The sequence below is a fragment of the Homo sapiens genome, chromosome 19, assembly GCF_000001405.40.
Source record: "Homo sapiens chromosome 19, GRCh38.p14 Primary Assembly".
Taxonomy (NCBI): domain Eukaryota; kingdom Metazoa; phylum Chordata; class Mammalia; order Primates; family Hominidae; genus Homo; species Homo sapiens.
This window is the reverse complement of record NC_000019.10, coordinates 4,636,030-4,657,376: the sequence shown is the minus strand read 5'-3', so window position 1 is coordinate 4,657,376 and position 21,347 is coordinate 4,636,030. Positions and strand designations below refer to the sequence as shown.

Sequence of the window (21,347 nt, the reverse complement as noted above, 5' to 3'; positions counted from 1 at the left end):
TTGGCACTCGCTGTCCCTGGGTCCCCCACATGTTGTGAATTCACACCCGGGTTTCTGTGGCTGCCACAGGCCCCAGCGCGGGAGGATGTTCCAAGGCCGACCTGCTCTCTGCAGCCTGGGGCATTGGTTTCCCTTAGTTTGTTTTTCTTTTGAGACAGGGTCTTCTCCTGTCACCCAGGCTGAAGTGTAGTGGTGTAACACGGCTCACTGCAACCTCCACCTCCTGGGCTCAAGCGATCTTGCCACCTCAGCCTTCCAAGTAGCTGGGACTACAGGCACACGCCACCATGCCCGGCTAATTTTTGCATCTTCTTTTGATAGAGACAGCGTTTTGCCATGTTGCTCAGGCTGGTTTCGAACTGAGCTCAAGCAATCCACCTGTCTCGGCCTCCCAAAGTGCTGGGATTACAGGCATGAGCCACTGTGGCCAGCCTCCCGTAGTTTTTTGAAGCTGGGTTGCAACAGTGACTAAAAAACAAAAACAGACCAGACAGGATGGTTTACGCCCGTGAATCCCCGCACTTCGGGAGGCCAAGGTGGGAGAATCTCTTGACACCAGGAGTTCAAGACCAGCTTAGGCAACATAGCAAGACCCCCATCTCTACCAAAAAATAAATAATTTTAAAATTAGCCAGGTGTGGTGGGGCACACCTGTAATCCCAGCCACTCAGGAGCCTGAGGCAGGAGAATCGCCTGAACCCAGGAGTCCAAGGCAGCAGTGAGCCAAGATCGCGCCACTGCAGTCCAGCCTGGGCCACAGAGTGACACCTTGTCTCAAAAGAAAAAGAACCAGCCAGCCTTGACTTCCCAGCACACACTTGATGCCACCACATGAGGAAAGGACTGACGGCCGCACACATCAGCGGGAAGGGCCCCTAGACCAAGAATGGCAGTGCTCTGAGGTCTGAAGACCCCCCCGCCAAGGCCAGGAGGCTTTCCAGCTCTTGACTCTGAGGCTCCACGGGGCCCAGAAGATGAGCACGACAGGGTTGCCAGGGCCTCCTGTGCAGAAAAGGCCGTGGGAAACAGTGCCTACCACCAGTACCCTGGCCAAGGTAGGGGGACTCTCTCCTGGTCAGCTGGGATTCGCCCACAGCTTCTGGATCCCTGGCTGTCATCAAGGATGATGCCCGGGTGGCCTGATGCACCAGCATACATCAGGGCATCTCGGGACACACAGGAGCTTCCCCTCTGACCTTACGTGTGCATATGTGTGCTTTTTTTTTTTTTTTTTGGACAGGATCTTGCTCCATCACCCAGGCTGGAGTGCAGTGGTGCGATCTCGGCTCACCGCAGCCTCAACCTCCTGGGTCCAAGCCATCCTTCCAGATAGCTGGGACCACATGTGCATGCCACCCTGACTGGCTATAATTTTTTATTTTTTTATTCTGTTTCTGAGACCAAGTCTCACTCTGTTGCCCAGGCTGGAATGCAGTGGCACGATCTCATCTCACTGCAACCTCCGCCTCCCAGGTTCAAGTGATTCTCCTGCCTCAGCCTCCCAAGTAGCTGGGATTACAGGCACCCGCCGCCATGCCCAGCTAATTTTTGTACTTTTTAGTACAGATGGGGTCTCACCATCTTGGCCAGGCTGGTCTTGAACTCCTGACCTCAGGTGATCTGCCTGCCTCAGCCTCCCAAAGTGCTGGGATGACAGGCGTGAGCCACTGCACTTGGCCTTATATATATATATTTTTAGAGATAGGGTCTCGCTATGTTGCCCAGGGTGGTCTTGAACTCCTTGGCTCAAGTGATCCTCCTGCCTCGGCCTCCCAAAGCACTAGGTTTAACTGACATGAGCCACTGCGCCCAGGCTGGTGTGTGCTTTTATTTAAATTGTTCCGCAGTCCTATTTGGTTTGTTTCCTTTAATTAAATCTCAAATTTACAAGAGTCCAGACTGTCTGGACAGCCCAACAGGGACACAGAGAGTTTTACACACTGATGTCTCAACAGCACAGGGTTCCATCGGGACTTCGTGAGAAAATCAGGATCCATGTACGTTCTTGAAGAGCTGTCTCTCGGCCTAAGATAAGTGGAGAAGGTTGCCTTGGAAGCGTGGGGTAGAGGTAGGAACAGCTGGCTCTCTGGCCAAGGCCTTTGGCTTTTTCGCGGAAGCAAAAACCGAACCACGGGAAGGCTGCTCCGAGTCTGGGGTCAGAATTTCCTATCAGTGAGTGCAGCAGGCCAGGGAGAGGCGAAAGGGAGTGGAGAGGACTGTGGTGAAAGGGAGAGGGGCGGCCCCTGCACAGCTTCACCAGGCGTCAGTGCAGGCTCAGACGGCCGGACTGGCGAGTTTTCAAGAGAAACTCCAAATCCAGACAGGTGTGTGTGATCTCTTGGTTTTAAATGCAGACAAATTCCAAATGTCTCAAATACTGAATGGAGCCAGCTAGACCTACCTTCTCACCAAGTAAGGCCCACAGGCCCCTGCCGCAACCTCTACCCTCCACAGACAAGGTTCTGCAAAACAGTCATGGGACCTTGTTTCACCTCCCCCACAGGCACCCAAAATAACCTTCCTGACCTGCAGCAGCATTTTGCAATCTTTGAGAACCCCTGCCCCCTGCTGACAAACAAAAATGGCAAATAGACTCCCCCACACCACGCCTCCACGCCCTGAGCTGAGAATCGCCCGCATCTCGTGGGTGGTACCAGAGCCAAGACGACAGCCAAGCTTTGCTTTCTCAGCTCTGTCTTATAAAAGCAACATGGTTGGCTGGTTGGTTGCTGATTCTCCAAATATGAAATCACGATATTACAATGTGCACACTTTGTGAGGCCGAGGTAGGTAGGTCGCTTGAGCCCAGGAGTTCGAGACCATCCTGGGCAACATGGTGAGACCTTCTGTCTACAAAAAATACAAAGATTAGCCGGGTGTGCTCGTGCACACCTGTAGTCCCAGCTACCCGGGGCTGAGGTGGGAGGATCACTTGAGCCTGGAAGGAAGGGGCTGCAATGAGCCGAGATTTCACCACTGCACTCCAGCCTGGGTGACACAGCGAGACTTTGTCTCAAAACAATAAATAAATAAAATGTGCACACATCTCAGGTGGGTCCCCCCTCACCCCTGGGAGGTGGGCACGCTCCGTCCCCTCCCATGTGGCAGTCCCTGGATTGGAGCAGTTTCCCCTCCCGACCCAGGGCAGAGGTCTCCAGCTTCACGGAGGCATCCTGGCTGAACGTGCCAGCATTCACTGGAGCCTTCTTGAGTGGGGGCTTCCAGTACCACATCCTGTGGACTGAGGGGCTTCACGCACATTTATTCTCATTCAGTTCTCTGGGCCGCAAGTCTGAGATGAAGGTGTGGCCAGGGCTAGGTCCCTCCAAGGCTGAAGGGGATCTGCCCTGGGCCTCTCCCAGCTCCTGGTGGTGGCCGGCATCATTGGCCTTCCTTGCATGCATGTCTGTGTCCAAATACTTTTTTTTTTCTTTCTAAGACAGAGTCCCACTCTCACCCAAGCTGGAGTGCAGTGGCATGATCATCGGTCACTGCAGCCTCTTAACTCCTGGGCTCAAGTGATCTTCCCTCGTCATCTCTCAAGTAGCTGGGATTATACGTGTGCACCACCACAGTCACTTTTTTTTTTTTTTTTTTTTTTTTTTTTGAGACGAGTCTCGCTCTGTCACCAGGCTGAAGTGCAGTGGTGCAATCTCGGCTCACTGCAACCTCCGCCTCCCTGCAACCTGCGCCTCCCAGGTTCAAGCGATTCTCCTGCCTCAGCCTCCCAAGTAGCTGGGACTACAGGCACGCAACACCATGCCCGGCTAATTTTTGTATTTTTAGTAGAGACGGGGTTTCACCATGTTGGCCAGGATGGTCTCGATCTCTTGACCTTGTGATCTGCCCGCCTCAGCCTCCCAAAGTGCTGGGATTACAGGTGTGAGCCACCACGCCCGGCCCACCACGATAATTTTTTTTTTGTAGAGACGAGGGTCTCACCATGTTGCCCAGACTGGTCTTGAACTTCTGAGTTCAAGCAATCTTCCTGCCTCGGCCTCCCAAAGTGCTGGAATTAGAGTAGTGAGCCACTGCACGTGGCCTCAATCCCCCACTCCCCCGCTTCTTTTTTTGAGACAGAGTCTTGCTCTGTCACCCAGGCTGGAGTGCAGTGGCACAATCTCGGCTCACTGCAACCTCCTCCTCCTGGTTCAAGTGATTATCCTGCCTCAGCCTCCCGAGTAGCTGGGACTACAGGCATGTGCCACCATGCCCAGCTAATTTTTTGTATTTTCAGTAGAGATGGGGTTTCACCGTGTTAGCCAGGATGGTCTCGATCTCCTGACCTCGTGATCCGCCCGCCTCAGCCTCTCAAAGTGCTGGGATTACAGGCGTGAGCCACCGCGCCCTGCCCCAGGCCCCCTTTTTTTAAGGACCCCAGTCCTTGAATTGGGGCCCACCCTACTCCAAGATGAGATCATCTGAACTAATTCCATCTGTAATGATCCTATTTCCAAATCAGATCATCTTCTGAGGTCCTGGGGGTTAGGACGTGAGTTTATGGAAGGGGGGGTGCCGCGACTTGCCCCCTAACACTTCCCTTCCCCCAGTTCACCGTGTGAACCCGTAGTCCTTGTGCGAGGGATGAAAATCCCAGGCGACATGATCCAAGTGGGAGGCAGCAGCTTTTGGCTTTTACATCAAGCGACCCAGGGGTCGGCGTGGCCCAGAAAGTACAAACGGGTGAAAGGTGGTCCCCAGAGTAGGGCCCCAAATTCCTCTCCCCATTGGGCGGGGGCCAGGAGGAGAGGTGACATTGGTGTTTGAAACAGCTGCTACAGATGCCTCAGCATCCTCTCAAAGGAGACAGGTCACCCATCTGTCTAGGGGAGTTTGGCCGGAGTCCGATTGGGAGAAAAGAGGTGGAAAAAAACCCACAAACCCCACCCGCGCCCAGCAGGAGAGCCCCAAAAGGCGCGAGGGGCGCGGTTGGGCGGCGCCGGGGTTCAGAGGCTGCCCTCGTCCAGCATCCGGCCCAGGCCCTCGCAGATCCTGCGCAGGTGGGAGCGGTAGGGCTCGGCGGGGCCGTAGAGCGCAGCCAGGAAGTCGCAGTCGGCTAGGTGGCCGAACACGTGGTTGATGCGGCCGTGGGACTTGGCGGTCAGGTGGGGACCCACGGCCTGGTGCAGCAGGTCGCGGCACTCGAGCAGCCCGGCGGCCAGCACGCGCCGGTCGAAGGTGAAGTCCACCTGGTGGAAGCTGACGGCCGTCATGGCCAGGCAGCGCGCCCGGTGGCGGAAGCGCCGCAGCAGCGCCAGCTCCTCACCGCCCAGCTGGTCCCCACGCAGCAGCAGTCCCAGCTTCAGGGCCACCTTGACCAGGTTCTTGAGCATCTTCTGGGCCTCCTTGCGGCTGCGCGTGAACTCCCTGGTGGCGCGGTACAGCTCATCCAGCACCTCACTGCTGGTGTCATCCACCAGCACGGCCACCACTGCCTTGGACGCCATCTTACTCAGGAGCTTCTTCTGCGCCTGCAGAGCCAGGCTCTTGGTGCTGAAGGTGTCCATGGCCTGCGGGGGACACAGACCAGCCCTCAGTTTTGCACGTTGGGGCACTCCTCACACAGAAGAGGTGACAACACCACAGACCCCAGAGGGCCTAACGGAATTTGTTTCTTTAAAAAGTGTCATGCCGGACGCAGTGGCTCACGCCTGTAATCCCAGCAATTTGGGATGCCTAGGCAGGCGGATCGCCTGAGATCGAGGTTAGGAGTGCGAGACCAGCCTGGCAAACATGGTGAAACCCATGTTTCTCTCTACTAAAAATACAAAAATTAGCCAGGCTTGGTGATGGGTGCCCGCAATCCCCGCTACTTGGGAGGCTGAGGCAGGAGAATCCCTTGAGCCCGGGAGGCGGAGGTTGCAGTGAGCTAAGACCATGCCACCGCACTGCAGCCTATAATTCAAGCCTGTGGTTCATGCCTGTGGTCCCAGTGCTCTGGGAGGCTGAGGCAGGAGAATTGCGAGGCCAGGAGTTTGAGACCAGCCTGGGCAACATAACAAGACCCTATCTCTAAAAAAAAAAAATCAAAAATTTTATTTTGTATTTATTATTATGATTATTATTATAAACAAACAGAGAAGGCCCTTCTGAACCCCACTATCTGTAGGGTCTGATGCCAGCCCTCAAACCCATCATATCCTTGCTATGAGCTGAGAAGGGGCTCAAGGTGATTGTTACAGGGGGTTCCGTTCCATCCCCTAGGTCCAGCTCAACACTCCCCACCCTCACCCCACAGCTCCATGAGGTGGGGTTCCAAGTGAGCCCCAGACCCGGGGCTGTTCAGGGTGGAGGAGCCCCATTACTATGGCAGTGCCTCCAGTCCCACTGCCCCCGCAGGGTTGGTTTATTTATTATTTATTTATTTTATTATTATTATTATTACTATTTTTTGAGATGGAATCTCCCTCTGTCGCCCAGGCTGGAGTGTGGTGGCACGATCTCGGCTCACTGCAAGCTCCGCCTCCTGGGCTCACGCCATTCTCCTGCCTCAGCCTCCGGAGTAGCTGGGACTACAGGCGCCCGCCACCACACCTGGCCCCCGACAGGGTTTATAACAGGCATGTCCAAGGCCTTCAGCCCCGAGTGAGCCAGGGGGTGATGGGTTCACAGGGGGCCATTTGTGGGGTTTCTGGGAAGGCATGGCTCCGATGATTCCTCCAACAGGGAAACATTGACTTGGACAGCCCCCGTCCAGGCTGGGACTGGGGAGGTGGCCAAGGTGAGAGCCTGGCCAGCTCTCGAGGCATAAGGGCCAGGCCTCTCACTGCAGAACCATCCCCCTGTCCCTGTCTGCTCCTTTTCTCTGTCCACCCTGCCCTGTAGCCTGCCCAGTTTCCCCAGCCCTGGAGCTTCCCCCTCCACCCACCTCCTTCCTGCAGCTCCGGAATTCTTCCTAAATCTCAGAGTAGGGCATAGCCCTTACCTGCTGAGAACAAGCTGACAGCTCCTCAAAGCTCCCAGGACCAAGCTCCACACCTCACTTGGAGCCCTGACTCTTCCCTGTGGACCTCAATACCCTAAGGCCCCATCTCCTCCCTGGTGAACTCCTATACACCCCCCAAAGCCTGGCCCCCAAGCCCCTGCCTCTTCCCTGGTAAACTATACATCCCCATCACTTTGGCCCCCAAGTCTCTGCCTCCTCTGAGCCGCAGGTTCCCCAGGCATCCCCATTGCTCCTCTGCTCCCCAGCTCTGCACCCCAACTGGTCTGCCTCACCCCAGGCCACAGGGGAGGTCATGGGCCCAATTCCTTATCCACGGTGTCCCTGCAGACTCCAGAAACATCTGCTGAATGAAGAGGGGAGTGTGGAAGAACTGGCGGAGGAGGGAGGGCCTGAGACCCGCCCCCGGTCTCTCTCACTGCCCCAGACCCTGCTCAGCCTCCACTCCCACCCCAGCGCCAGGCTGCCAGCCTTGGAATGCCATGTGGGCACCCACCTACCCCAGGAGCCCCCACAAAGCCGGTCTTTGTGTGAGTTCAGACTCCGGGAGAAGTTCCAAACCCTCGGCCGCCCTCTGAGGTCAGGGCAGGCACGGGAATTGCTGGATGGGCCGCCCCTGCCCTCCGACCTCGGTCACCAGACCCTGGCTCTGCACAGGCCTAGGCCAGAAGAGGGGTGCTGTTGACTCAGTGCCACGTGGCAGACCCTGAGTCAGCGATGTGTGCCCACTTTGTCATCGCCACCATGTACTAGGCAGGTTGCCTGTTTTGCAGAAGAGACCACAAAGGCTCAGAGAGGCTGAGCCACTTCCCCAAGACCACACAGCAATACAGTAACCACTGGCTCTCAACGCCCTTGAACCCCAACTCCCTGTGCCTTCCCCACCTAACGCCCTCAACTGGCCGTGAGTCTTAGAGGGCAACCCTGATATTTAGGGCCTGCTCCCAGCTCTGGCCTCTGCAGCAAGCAACTTAACAATGTGCCTCAGTTTCCCCATCTGAAATATGGGGAAGATCGGAACGAACTTTGTCCTGGGGCAGAAGCTTGTGACCAAACCGCAATGCCCCCTAAGCTGTGAGCTTCCTCTGGACGAGAGGCTGCAACCACTGCCTGGAATTCCGCCCTTCCGTGCCCACCTCAGCTCTGTGAACTTGCAGACCTAGTTCTATCTCAGTGAGATTCCCTGTGCAAAAAAAAAAAAGCTGGCCGGGCGCGGTGGCTCACACCTGTAATCCCAGCACTTTCGGAAGCCAAGGCGGGAGGATCACTTGAGGTCAGGAGTTCGAGTCCAGCCTGGGCAACATGGTGAAACCCCGTCTCTACTAAAAATACAAAAATTAGCTGGGCATGGTGGTGGGCGCCTGTAGTCCCAGCTACTTTGGGGGCTGAGACAGGAGAATCGCTCGAACCCAGGAGGCGTAGGTTGCAGTCAGCTGAGATCACACCACTGGACTCCAGCCTGGGCAACAAGAGCAAAACTCAATCTCAAAAAAAAAAAAAAAAAAAAAAGGATGTTTGCAGATTCTAAGAGGAAACTCCCGAACCCCTGGGTCCAGCCTCCCCAGTTCATAGATGAATAAACCGAGGGGACTCGAAGAGGAAAAGGCCTTTCTCTGCATCTGGGGATGAGGCCCCTGGACCCCATCGGCCCTGGAGCCCACATCTTTCTGCCCATCTCGGGAGCTCCGTGACCCCAGGCAGGGCTGTGCCCCTCGCTGGGCCTTGACTTTCCCATCTGTGAGTCCTGAGGCTGAAGAAGTTGATTCCGGACGGGAGTCAGGCCTGTTTACAGATTCAGGAAGGGCCTGGGCTCCCAAGAGCAACCCCCGCCCCCTGCAAGGCCAACAGGAAGAGGGATGGGGGGCAAGCAGCTGTGGCCTCCCTTCCTGGCCCCCACACTCCTAAGACGGCCGGGGCAGCCCCGGGACCTGCTGACACCTGGGGCGGCCCAGCTGCCTGGCCTTCCCCTTCCTCCTCCCTGACCCATTGTTCTGCCAGAAACGCTCCCATCCAGGCAGCCAGACAGGAGGATGACTGCTCTCCCAGGGGAACAGGCCGAGGACCAAAATAAACCTGGGTCTTCCTTCCTGCAGGAGGCGGTGTAGCGGCCGCATCAGCCCTTACAGGGCAGGGGCCTTCCTAGGGACTGCCTGGGGCCTAGGGGCATCGCCCTCCAAATGCCAGGGCACCCTGCCATCGTCACAAACACACACAGCCTGCTACAGCTTCTGGGATTCAGGTGTTAACACCCATTCAGTGGCTCAACGAGCATTTATGGAGCACCAGCTGTCCTGGGGCAGAAGCTTGTAACCAAACCCCAGTGTCCTGAGCCAGCGACCTGTGCCTATTCGTCATTCCCACCTGGTACTGGCCAGGTTGCCTGCTTTGCAGAAGAGACCACAGAGGCACTGGGGATACAGCAGGCATCAAAACAGATCCCATCCCTGCCTTGCTAAGGCCCTGGCTTTCTAGACCCCAAGCTGCCTCCTCATTACAAAATCATCTGGGCCAGGCAAGGTGGCTCACACCTGTAATCCCAACACTTTAAGAGGCCAAGGCAGGAGGATTGCTTGAACTGGGAAGTTCAAGACCAGCCTGGGCAACATAGCGAGATCCCATCTCTACAAAAAAAAATTTTTTTTAATTAGCCAGGCATGGTGGCACGGGTCTGTGGTCCCAGGTACTCGGGAGGCTGAGAGGGGGAGAATCGCTTGAGCCCACGAGGTCAAGGCTGCAGTGAGCTATGATCACACCACTGCACTCCAGCCTGAGCAACAGAGCAAAACCCTGTCTCAAAAGGAAAAAAAAAAAAAAAAAAAAAAAAGCCAGGTGCACTGACTCACACCTGTAATCCCAGCACTTTGGGAAGCTGAGGTGGGCAGATCACCTGAGGTGAAGAGTTGAGATCAGCCTGGCCAACATGGTGAAACCTTATCTCTACTAAAAATACAAAAAAAATTAGCTGGGCATGGTGGCAGGCACCTGTAATCCCAGCTACTCTGGAGGCTGAGGCAGGAGGATCATTTGAACCCGGGAGGTGGAGGTTGCAGTGACAGTGAGCCGAGGTCTCCAGCCTGGGTGATAGAGCGAGACTCCGTCACAAAAAACAAAAAACAAAACAAAAAAACCCAGTCCGACGGCTCCTCAGACATCTAAACACACAGTTACCATAGGACCCAGCAATTCCACTTTGGGGGATCTACCCAAGAGAAACACAAGCATACACCACGCAAACACTTGTTTTGCACGTCACAGTTTACAGCGGCGTGACCCAGGGTAGCCTGCAAGTGGAAGCAACTCAAATGTCCGTATGTCCATTAATGGGTGAATGAATAAACAAAATGAGATCGGTCCAAACAATGGAATGTTCTCTAGCCATAAAAGGAACGAGGCTCACACACAAGCTCCAGCGTGGATGCACCTTGAGGACATCATTCCCAGTGACAGAAGCCAGACACACAAGGCCACAAAGTGTGTGATCCCACTTCTATGAAATGTTCAGGAAGGGCCGGGCACCGGCTCACGCCTGCAATCCCAGCACTTTGGGAGGCCGAGGCGGGCGGATCACAAGGTCAGGAGATCGAGACCATCCTGGCTAACACGGTGAAACCCCGTCTCTACTAAAAATACAAAAAATTAGCGGGGCGCGGTGGCGGGCACCTGTAATCCTGGCTACTCGGGAGGCTGAGGCAGGAGAATGGCGTGAACCCGGGAGGCGGAGCTTGCAGTGAGCCAAGATCACGTCACTGTACTCCAGCCTGGGTGACAGAGCGAGACTCCATCTCAAAAAAAAAAAAATGTTCAGGAGAGGCCTGTCCACAAGGGCAGAAAGCGGACTCGCGGGTGCTGGAAACTGGAAGAGGGGAAAATGGAAAGCGATTGCTAAATTGGGAACCAGGTTTTTTTGGGGTGAGTGGTAATGGAATGTTCTGGAATTAGAGATTCCAGAAATTTATGATGGTCACATAACTTTCTGGTTATAAATTGTACACTTTAAAACAATGATTGGCCAGGTGCGGTGGCTCATAACTGTAATCCCAGCAGTTTGGGAGGCAGAGGGAGGAGGATCAATTGAGGCCAGGAGTTCAAGACTAGCCTGGCCAACATAGTGAGACCCGGACTCAACTGAAAAAAAAAAAAAAAGTCGGCCGGGCGTGGTGGCGAGCACCTGTAATTCCAGCTACTCGGGAGACTGAGGCAGGAGAACCGCTTGAACCTGGGAGGCGGAGGTTGCAGGGAGTCGAGATTGTTCCACTGCACTCCAGCCTGGGTGCAAAAACTGTTCCCCTGCTGGAAGGAGGAGGTGCCGGTAACCAATAAATAGAAACAAACAAGTTAATTTCAGGAAGAGAGATATGGGCCACGGGGGTGGGGGATGAAGTTCAGGGTAACCAGGAGGGCCTCTCTAGGGAGAGGCTGGGCCAGTTGAACTGGGCCTGCAATGACAGGGTCTGCGGGAAGATGCTCCAGGCAAAGGGCACAGCCTGTGCAAAGGCCCTGGGGCAGGGCTGTGTCACGCTTGTTACAGGAACAGCCAGGAGGCCTCAGCCCTGTCCACAGCCTCTGTCCAGGTCCGTCCACAGCTCTGAGGTCTCCCTGCTGTGACCCTTGGCAGGCCCCATGCATGGGGGCAGCTTTCCCATCTGCAAAATGGGTGACCAGGCACCAACTCCCTGGCTCCCTTGACTCTTCCCCTGCTCCCTATATTCCTTTTTTTTTTTTTTTTTGAGACGGATCCTCCTGCCTCAGCCTCCCAAAGTGCTGGGACTACAGGTGTGAGCTACCACCCCTGGCTTAAATGTACTTTATTTAACTATAAGTTTATGTATGTATGTATGTTTGTATGTATTTTGAGATGGAGTCTTGCTCTGTCTCCCAGGCTGGAGTGCAGTGGCCAAATCTCAGCTCACTGCAACCTCTGCCTCCCGGATTCAAGCGATTCTCCTGCCTCAGCCTCAGCCTCCCAAGTAGCTAGGACTACAGGTGCATGCCACCACACCCAGCTGGTGTATTTGTATTTGTACAAAAATACAAATTTGTGTATTTTTAGTAGAGACGGGGTTTGGCCATGTCGGCCAGGCTGGTCTCTAACTCCCGGCCTCAAGTGATCTACTCGCCTCGGCCTCCCAAACTGCTGGGATTACAGGTGGGAGCCACCACGCCCAGCCTTAACTATAAGTTTATATTCTCCCACGTTAAATAATGGCTGCGTTTAACTACCAGATGGCAAAATTCCTGAAAACACAGGAGGTGGCTCTGGTGAGCTGGCTGCAATTATGTCACAAGTCCCTGCCGTCCCCACCCCTGTCCCATGAATTCTTCATGCACCTCACAGAGTGTCAATAATTGATGGATCTGCTCTGCAGGTGCACGCCAGCCGCTCCATCTGTCTTGTCTCAGCCCCGGCTGCACTCAGTCCGGGGGCCCAGGGGGGGCCTCAGGCCTCTTCCCGCCGAGGCCAGTGATCCCAGGCCTCATCCCACCGACTCCCAGGGTCCCACTGCACCAAGCCCTTTAAGACCCATGACTCACAGGCTGGGCGTGGTGGCTCATGCCTGTAATCCCAGCACTTTGGGAGGTCGAGGCGGGCAGATCACCTTAGGTCGGGAGTCCAAGACCAGCCTGGCCAACATGGTGAAACCCCATCTCTACTAAAAATACAAAAATTAGCCGTGTGTGGCACACGCCTGTAATCCCAGCTACTCGGGAGGCTGCGTCACGAGACTCGCATGAACCTGGGGGGCAGAGGTTGCAGTGAGCTCCACTTCATTCCAGCCTGAGAAACAGAGTGAGACTCTATCTCAAAAAAAAAAAAAAAAAAAAAAAAATCCATGACTCAGGACTTGCAAGCCGGTGTCCATTTTATTTTTATTTATTCATTTTTTTTTTAAGACAAGGTCTTACTCTGTTGCCCAGGCTGGAGTGCAGTGGTACCATTATAGCTCACTATAGCCTCGACCTCCTGGGCTCAAGTGATCCTCCCACCTCAGCCTCCTGAGTAGCTGGGACTACAGGTATGTGCCACCATGCCTGGTTAATTTTTTTTTTTTTTTTTTGGTAGACATGGCGTCTTGCTATGTTGCCCAGGCTAGTCTCGAACTCCTGGGCTCAAGTGATCCTCCCGCCTTGACCTCCCAAAGTGCTGGGATTGCAGGCGTGAGCTGCCACACTTGGCCAGTGTCCATTTTATTTTATTTTTATTTTATTTTTTTGAGACGGAGTTTCACTCTTGTTGCCCAGGCTGGAGTGCAATGGCATGATCTCAGCTCACTGCAACCTCTGCCTCCTGGGTTCAAGTGATTCTCCTGCCTCAGCCTCCCAAGTAGCTGGGATTACAGGCATGCGCCACCACGCCCGGTTAATTTTGTATTTTTAGTAGAGACGGGGTTTTCTCCATGTTGGTCAGGCTGGTCTCGAATTCCTGACCTCAGGTGATCCACCCGCCTCGGCCACCCAAAGTGCTGGGATTACAGGCATAAGCCACCGTGAACGGCCAATTTTATTATTTATTTATTTTTTGAGATGGAGTCTCGCTCTGTTGCGCGATCTCAGCCCACTGCAACCTCCACCTCTCCAGTTCAAGCAATTCTCCTGCCTCAGCCTCCCAAATAGCTGGGATTACAGGCACCTGCCACCATGCCTGGCTAAGTTTTGTATTTTTAGTAGAGATGGGGTTTTGCCATGTTGGCCAGGCTGGTCTCCTCCTGGGCTCAAGCGATCCTCCTGCTTCGGCCTCCCAGAATGCTAGGATTACAGGCATGAGCCGCCATACTTCGCCAGTGTCCATTTTAGTTATGGCAAAAGAGAGAGGGGAATCTGTTGGCCCAAGTTGGGGGTGACATCAGTTGTTCTCAAACTGGGTTCCCCAGCACCCTCAGGACCACCCCATGGATGGGCAGGGGCCAGCTGCCTGCTGGGTTGTGGCGGGGAGCCTGGACACTTTCCACTGTGGCCAGATTTCCACTGGAGAAAGGGTTCGAGGGCCAAACATGAATTATCAGCTACCCACAGCCCATGACTCTGCAGAGGAGGGGACAGGCTTGCCTCAGCCCAAGCAATAAATTATTAGAGTGCAGAGAAGCCTAGGATCACCTGGCAGGAGGTGCATCCAGCCCCTAAATGTGTCCCAATGCAACCCACTTTTTTTTTTTTTTTGAGACAGAGTCTCACTCTGTTGCCCAGGCTGGAGTGCAGCGGCGTGATCTCGGCTCACTGCAACCTCCGCCTCCTGGGTTCAGGTGATTCTCCTGCCTCAGCTTCCTGAGTAGCTGGTATTACAGACACGTGCCACCATGCCTGGGTAATTTTTGTATTTTTAGTAGAGATGGGGTTTCACCATGTTGGTCAGGCTGGTCTCCAACTCCTGACCTCAGGTGATCCACTTGCCTCAGCCTCCCAAAGTGCTGGGATTACATGAGCCACCCTGCCTGGCCTAACGCAACCCACTTCTTATCTCCCCCACAGCCTCCATCCTGGTCCCCTCGTCCCTCAGCACCATCTATCCCCATGCCCCCCGTCTGTCCTCCCTGTAGCAGCCAATGGGTGCCTGTGAGTACCTGAGTCAGGTTCCATCCTTCCCCTGCCCACCACCCTCCATGGCTCCCACCTCCCTTGGGGTCAAAGCCAAGTATTCCTGGCAGCCCATAAGATCCTGCGCACCCTGCCCTGTCCCCTCCCTGCCCTCCCCTCCTCCCTCTCTCCTCCTCCTCACTGCTCCAGCCCCACGGGCCTCCTTGCTGCTCCTCTACCATGCCAGGCGCCATCTTGCCCCAGGGCCTTTACACAACCTGTGCCCTCTGCCTGAGCTGCTCTTCTCCCAGGTCTCCACATGGCTGTTTCCTTCTTGTCATCCAGGTCTGGGTTTACATGGCCCCTCCTCAGGAAGCCCTCCCAGATCCCCCATCTATTTTATTTATTTTATGTGTATATTTTTAATTTTTTTTTTTTTTTTGAGATGGAGTCTCACACTCTGTCAACCCAGGCTGGAGAGCAGTGGTGCAATCTCGGCTCACTGCAACCTCTGCCTCTTGGGTTTAAGTGTTTCTCCTGCCTCAGCCTCCTGAGTAGCTGGATTACAGGCACCCACCACCACGCCCGCCTCATTTTTGTATTTTTAGTAGAGACAGGGTTTTGCCCTCTTGGCCAGGCTGGTCTCGAATTCCTGACCTCAGGTGATCCGGCCACCTCAGCCTCCCAAAGTGCTGGGATTACAGGCGTGAGCCACGGCGCCCAGCCAATTCTCTTCTTTTTCTTTGAGACAGGGTTTCACTCCTGTCGCCCAGGCTGAAGTGCAGTGGCATGAGCTCGGCTCACTGCAGCCTCAACCTCCCTGGGCTCAGGTGATCCTCCCACCTCAGCCTCCAGAGTGGCTGGGACTACAGGCCTGCGACACCACACCTGGCTAATTTTTTTTTCTTTGTTTTAAGTAGAGACAGGGTTTCACCATGTTGCCCAGGCTGGGAAATTCTCTAGATGGACCTGCAAGTTTTTGGTTATAAGGAAACTGAGTCACAGAGGGTCAGGAGCTTGCCTGTTTATAAAGCAGTGATGTGGCAGAATCAGAATTTGAACCCAGCCTTTAACCTAGTGCAATCCTTTCCTCATCCTAGTCAATGGCACATTTGGGGTTCAAGTCTCGTCTCTCCCAGAGCCCACCCCAGAGGGGAAGGATCGAAGCCTTAGGAAGCTTCTAGAAGTACTGTGTCCTGTAATCCCCTCCTCGGGCTTTTAACAATATCTTGTTGAATCTCCCCCACCCCTCAAAGCACCCTCCCTCCCCACAGTTATCTCAGCCCCACAAGAAAAAGGAGATGACCAGCCCCATTGGACAGATGGGGAAACTGAGGCCTAGAAGCTGGGGATTTACAAGATCCCAAGAACTCTGCCAGAGGTCCCTGCGTCAAAGCTCGAGCGGGTGTGATTCCAGGGAGGTCATCTGCTGAGGGGTGTCGGGAGATGCTGGGAAGGGGCAGGCATGCTGTGGAACTGGGCCGTTCCTGCCTCTCGCTCTGCCTCCTTGCCCTGCTCCCCGTCTGTAACACCTGAGCTGTACCTGGGCAAGTGTGAGTCATTTTTTAGCGTTGACGTCTCTCTGGGAGGAGTGTTCCCCTGTCAACGGCTGGAGTTTTGTCCTCAAGGCACCCTTTCGTGGCCCCATTGGACAGACAGGGACACTGAGGCCTCCGGAACCCACCATACTGAATTGTCAAGCAATCAAAAGACCCCTCACCCACCTGGGCTGACCCCTGGGGGAACGGGGATGAGGAAACTGAGGCTCTGGGGGCACCTGACCGTCGGTCCAAGGCCACACAGTGGGAGGGGCCGTACCGCGGGGCCTCAGACCTGCACCCGTCTGCAGAGCCACCCCACCATTGGAGCAGGGTTCAAGTCCCCCCCCCGGCCCCATATTCCCTGCAGGGGTCCAGGCACTCACCCACCACCTGTATCCCAGGCTGCTCCAGCCTCTGGCCAGTGCCCGATTCACCCAGGTGTTTGTGTGGCTGGAGACAGCCCTTTGTTCACGGTTTCCATAGGTACAGCGTCCCTGAGCGGCCCCTCCTCTGCCCCTCCCAGCCCTTGCCTGTGCAGGTCCTGGGTCCGGCCCATCCAGGGAGCTTGTTATGTTTCAAAGTTGGCGCCCTCGGACCTGCCGTAGTGGCAGAGGGCACAGCCCATGCAAAGGCCCTGAGAGAGGACCTCGCCTGGGGTGTTGGAGAAACAGGAGGAGGCCAGTGTGACTGGGGCAGAGCCACAGCGAGAGTCAGGCAGGTTATGAGCAGGGCCTGTATTCCTGCATCTGATCCCCCAGCAGCCCTCAACTTGGGGAGTTACGACCCACTCCTGTTTTACAGATGAGGAAACTGAGGCTCCGCAGAATTGAAAAACTGGTTCAAGATATCATGCGGGTGGCAGAGCTCAAACCTAGATTGGTCCAAGCTCCGCCACCACTGGGCTGGCCCCCCTGGGGCCTCCCAAGGCGTTCATCGCCTCCAGCTGAGCTGGGACTGGCTCAGGAAATAAACTCTGGCGGCCTGTTTACACCTGGGGCTGCTCCTCCACCAGCCCTTCCCCCCTCCATAGAGAAGGTGCTGGGAAATGTGAGGATGCAGAGAAAACAGATTCTGTCCTGCCTCTGTCCCCACTTCCCTGGACAAACATTGGAAGCATTGGCCTCTTTCTAGGCCTTAGTTTCCCATCCCAGGAAATGGGCCTAGTTCGACTTCACAGAAAAGGCCAGGAGGCGGCAGGTGTCCTTCAGATCACCTGCCAATTACCTTAGCAGCGACGGTCCCAGTTCACAGCTGGCAAAACTGAGGCCAAGTCCCCACAGGCCACTTGGGAGCTCATTAGGGGCCAGTCTGGGTGGGCCCGGGCTGGCCTAGGCCTGGCTCCCCGCCACCGATGCCTGGACCGATGCCTGGTTTAGCTAGAAGCTACAGTCATGCCCACCTCCGCACGGCTGGCCCAGCTGCCCACCGCCTGGAATGCCCTCAGGGTTCTGGAATCTGGCCTGAGCACCTGCGGCCCTACAGTTAAAGGGGGCAGAGTCCACTAGAGTCCACATGGGGGATGGGGGTGCTGGTCCCAGAGCAGAGCCCCACGCCAAGGGGGGCAATTGAGACTCAATCTGTCTCCCCCTAACCTATACAGCGAGAGTGACAGAGAGACAGACGGAAACTGAGGCAGGAATGTAGACGGACAGGCGGTGGGGTGCAGAAGCATTAAGGGGCGGGAGAGACAGAGGGCGGCCAGGTGGCCCCCGAGATGCGCTGAAATGGGGGGCGCCCCGGCACTGCTCGCTCACCTACTCTCGAAGCAGAGTCCGTACGTCCAACCGTCGGGGGTCCGTCCAGCCGCCTCCGTGGGCCGGGGCCGTTGCCGCGGCGGTGGGAGCAGCGCCGGAGCCGGGGCCGGGGCCGGGGCGGGGCGGGCAGCGCGGCCCCGCCCTCCACTCGCCTCGCCCCTCGGCAGGCCACGCCCTCCACTCGCCCCGCCCGCGCGGAAGGGACCGGAGAGTTGCCAGGCCTGGGGGGCGGGCCGAGCGCTCCGGATTAGCCAATGACAGGGCGGGCAATGTACGAAAAGGCCAATGGGAGCAGGGCACTGCGACGGGGGGGAAGTGGGGGGAAGGGGCGGAGCCTGGGGGCGGGGTCAGGCGGCTCTGGGGGATTCCTCCGGAATCGCGAAGGGGCCCGGATGCGGGGGCGAGGCCGTCGTGGGGGTGCCGGCCACAGAAAAGGGAAGAGATAAGAGTACGAGACAGACAGAGAACCTGGGGAGGGAGGCACAGAGACACCAACAGGAAGAGACCAGAGAGCCAAAAGGCAAAACAGACCAACCACGTGGTTCTGCACGGGCCCCTTCCTCCTTCTGGGGCTAGTTTACCCGCCTGGGTAATAGGAATTTCGGCAGAAGCGTGTTTCTCAAAGTACGGCCTCGGGGAACCCTTCGCGTCAGAAAGATCTGAGAGTCCATTTTAAAATGCAGATTCCAACTAGGTGTGGTGCCTCACGCCTGGAATCCCAGCACTTTGGGAGGCCAAGGCAGGAGGATCCCTTGAGCCCAGGAGTTTGAAACCAGCCTGGGCAACCTAGGGAGACCCTGTCTCTACAAAAAAAAAAAAAAAAAGAAAGAAAGAAAAAGAAGAAGATCAAAATAAGTTAAAATTTTAAAAATACAGAGTTCTGTGCCACAAGAAGGGATGAATCTAACCCAGGGTTGTGGGGCTATAGATGAATCTTTGGGGTGAGGTGGAGGGCTCCTGGAGACCTCATCAGAGGATCCCCAGGTCCAGCCTCGATTTCCGTAGGAATGAGCCTGCAGGACACACAGGAGCCTCCCGGCTGCGCAGCGCCAGCTGGGGTCCCCCGGGGAGGATGCAGCTGTGAGTCCTGGGAACCAGGCCCTGGAGCTGCTCCCAGGTCCCCTGCAGCACCATTTCCGCCCTGCAGCCCAACTCTGGGTCCCGGTTGCAGCTAGGGCCTAGGGAGCCCATAGCAACCTCGCTGCTTCTTCCTCCAGGAAGCCAGACAACAAATTGTTGAGGGCCTGTTGTGTGTCCTGACCTGCACACGGGATTCAGGAAGACCGAGGCACAGGCCTCAGGAGGCAAAAGTAAGTTAAATATCTCATTGGCTGGGCCCGGTGGCTCACCCCTGTAATCCCAGCACTTTGGGAGGCCGAGGTGGGCGGATCACCTGAGGTCAGGAGTTTGAGACCAGCCTGGACAACATCGTGGAACCCCGTCTCTACTAAAAATACAAAAATTAGCCGGGTGTGGTGGCACATGCCTGTAATCCCAGCTACTCAGGAGGCTGAGGCAGGGGAATCGCTTGAACTCTGGAGGCAGAGGTTGCAGTGAGCCAAGATCGGGCCACTGCACTCCAGCCGGGGCGACAGAGCAAAATTCCATCTCAAAAAATAAAACATACAAAAAAAAAAAATTAGCTGGTCGTGGTGGTGCACGCCTGTAGTCCCAGCTACTCGGGAGGCTGAGGTGCTAGAATTGCTTGAACCCCAGAGGCAGAGATTGCAGTGAGCCGAGATCGCGGCACTGCACTCCAGCCTGGGCTACAAAGCAAGAGTCCATCTCAAAAAATAAAAAATAAAGCAAAAATATGAAAAAATTAGCCAGGAGTGGTGGTGCACGCCTGTAGTCCCAGCTACTTGGGAGACTAAGGCACGAGAATCACTTGAACCCAGGAGGCAGAGGTTGCAGTGAGCCGAGATCGCGCCACTGCACTCCAGCCTGGACGACAGAGCGAGACTCTGTTTCAAGAAACAAAACAAAACACCTTCTTATTTCATTTTGGAGGAGGAGACTGAGGCCCAGAGAGAGGAAGTAACTTGCCTGAGGTCACACAGGCACAAGGTGGTAGAGTCAGGAGTGACTGTCCCATTTCACAGATGACGAAATGGAACCCCAGAGGGAGGAAGGGATAGGTTCCAGGCCACACAGCCAGATGAGGCAGAGATGGGATTAGGACCTGATTAGGTCTGACTTTGGTGTGGTGTGTACAGCTCCTCTCGCAACCCCAGCATCAAGGGGGTCTCCCCATCAGGGCAGGAGGACTGGAGGCATCTGAGCCTAGCATGATTTCACCTTTTTTCTTTCTTTCTTTTTTTTTAGACAGGGTCTCGATTTGTCACCCAGGCTGGAATGCAGTGGTGCAGTCACAGCTTACTGCAGTCTCAACTTCCTGGGTTCAAGCAATCCTTCTGCCTCAGCCTCCCAAGTAGCTGAAATCACAGGTGTGCACCACCAAGCTCGGCTAATTTTTATTTTTTTAAATAGAGATAGGGGGTGTCTCACTATGTTGCCCAGGCTGGTCTCGAACTCCTAGCCTCAAGCGATCCTCCTGCTTCTGCCTCCCAAAGCGCTGGGATTACAGGCAAGAACCACCACACCTGGTCTCTTTTCTGTATCAGATAAGAAGGTTGGGACTCGGGAGGGCTAGGGTTCAGTGGGTGTTAGGGGTGGGGGAGGGATGATCTTGGCCGGGAATGCAGGCTTACTGGGTGATGGGGCTTAGTGAGAATAGGGCCTCTGCTGGGATTGGGCTCTGTCTACAGTAAGGGTGCAGCCCAGGGTTAGGGTTCAGCCTAGAGTTGGAGACTCTATCGAGGGTCCAGGCTCAGCCCAGAGTCGGGATTTAGAAGGGGTCGCAGGCTCTATTCCGTATCAGACCTCAGCCTAGAGGGGGGCTCAGCCCTGAGTTGGGAGCTCAGGTCGATGGAGACTCTATTGGAGTTTGAGGCTTGGCTCAGGACCAGGGCTCAAAGACAGATCAGAGGCTCTATCCAAAGTTGGGGTCTCAGCCCAGGTCCCAGCTCTACTGGGATTGAGGTTTAGCCCAAGGCGGGAGCTCAGCCCAGTGTCGCGGTTCCTTAGGAGGTCGGGGATCGATCCAGAGTTGGGGGCTCTATAACCCGGTAAAGCTCAGCCGGGTGGGAGTCGGGTCCGGAGTCCCGAGGGTCCGGGAGTCGCCGCCGCGCCGTTTCCGATCATGCCCGGCAGAGGGCGCGCTCTGCCCACAGCCCGGGCTGGCGGCGCCTTCGCTTCCCCGGAACCCGCGGCCGGGGCGGGCGGGATCTGCGTGCGGGGCGGGGTCTCCAGGCCCAAGTCTCCCCGCGGAGCCTAGACCCACCAGAGTCACCCGCACCCCCAGGCCAGGCCTCGCACCCTGCCGGGCTGTGCAACCTGCAGCTAGCGACCCTCTTCTCCGGGCCTCTGCCCCGGCCCAGTGCCATGGGATCCCGTTTGGGGGAGCTATGGAACCTTGAATGTGGGGTCGATGGGACTCCGTTTGCGGGGATGATGAGACCCTGGTTGGGATGGGGGATGGGATTCCGTTTATGGGGTGATGGGATCCTGGTTGCGGGGGGACGATGATATCCCAGTTGA

General features: G+C 55.8%; 1 protein-coding gene across 4 annotated transcripts, besides 7 other annotated features; it reads right to left on the bottom strand.

Annotated features, from left to right (window-relative positions):
* Positions 1-1,808: 1,808 nt before the first annotated feature.
* On the bottom strand, positions 1,809-17,861 carry TNFAIP8L1 (TNF alpha induced protein 8 like 1). Of its 4 annotated transcripts, none has more exons than NM_152362.3 (2): positions 17,748-17,861; positions 1,809-5,510 (listed from the first exon to the last, which is right to left on the bottom strand). In NM_152362.3, the coding sequence occupies exon 2, from the start codon at positions 5,505-5,507 to the stop codon at positions 4,947-4,949; it is 561 nt and encodes a 186-aa protein (NP_689575.2). In that variant the 5' UTR covers positions 5,508-5,510; positions 17,748-17,861; the 3' UTR covers positions 1,809-4,946. The 4 variants fall into 4 exon arrangements, with proteins under 4 accessions (NP_689575.2, XP_011525982.1, NP_001161414.1 ...); XM_011527680.3 differs by having other exon boundaries at positions 17,752-17,861; NM_001167942.1 differs by lacking the exon at positions 17,748-17,861 and adding an exon at positions 17,218-17,360.
* Positions 2,596-2,645: a silencer, noted in NCBI's record as "silent region_9900". NCBI's record gives its function as "represses an Ori minimal core promoter by ATAC-STARR-seq in GM12878 lymphoblastoid cells {active_cell/tissue: GM12878}" and the evidence as "EXISTENCE:reporter gene assay evidence [ECO:0000049][PMID:35858748]".
* Positions 8,793-8,932: an enhancer, noted in NCBI's record as "active region_13778". NCBI's record gives its function as "activates an Ori minimal core promoter by ATAC-STARR-seq in GM12878 lymphoblastoid cells {active_cell/tissue: GM12878}" and the evidence as "EXISTENCE:reporter gene assay evidence [ECO:0000049][PMID:35858748]".
* Positions 16,861-17,860: an enhancer, noted in NCBI's record as "H3K4me1 hESC enhancer chr19:4639529-4640528 (GRCh37/hg19 assembly coordinates)". NCBI's record gives its function as "activates a minimal SCP1, AML or CMV promoter by ChIP-STARR-seq in primed H9 embryonic stem cells {active_cell/tissue: H9 hESC(primed)}" and the evidence as "EXISTENCE:reporter gene assay evidence [ECO:0000049][PMID:30033119]".
* Positions 16,861-18,200: a biological region, named in NCBI's record as "H3K4me1 hESC enhancer GRCh37_chr19:4639529-4640528".
* Positions 17,761-18,200: a silencer, noted in NCBI's record as "silent region_9899". NCBI's record gives its function as "represses an Ori minimal core promoter by ATAC-STARR-seq in GM12878 lymphoblastoid cells {active_cell/tissue: GM12878}" and the evidence as "EXISTENCE:reporter gene assay evidence [ECO:0000049][PMID:35858748]".
* Positions 18,261-18,340: a silencer, noted in NCBI's record as "silent region_9898". NCBI's record gives its function as "represses an Ori minimal core promoter by ATAC-STARR-seq in GM12878 lymphoblastoid cells {active_cell/tissue: GM12878}" and the evidence as "EXISTENCE:reporter gene assay evidence [ECO:0000049][PMID:35858748]".
* Positions 20,930-21,109: a silencer, noted in NCBI's record as "silent region_9897". NCBI's record gives its function as "represses an Ori minimal core promoter by ATAC-STARR-seq in GM12878 lymphoblastoid cells {active_cell/tissue: GM12878}" and the evidence as "EXISTENCE:reporter gene assay evidence [ECO:0000049][PMID:35858748]".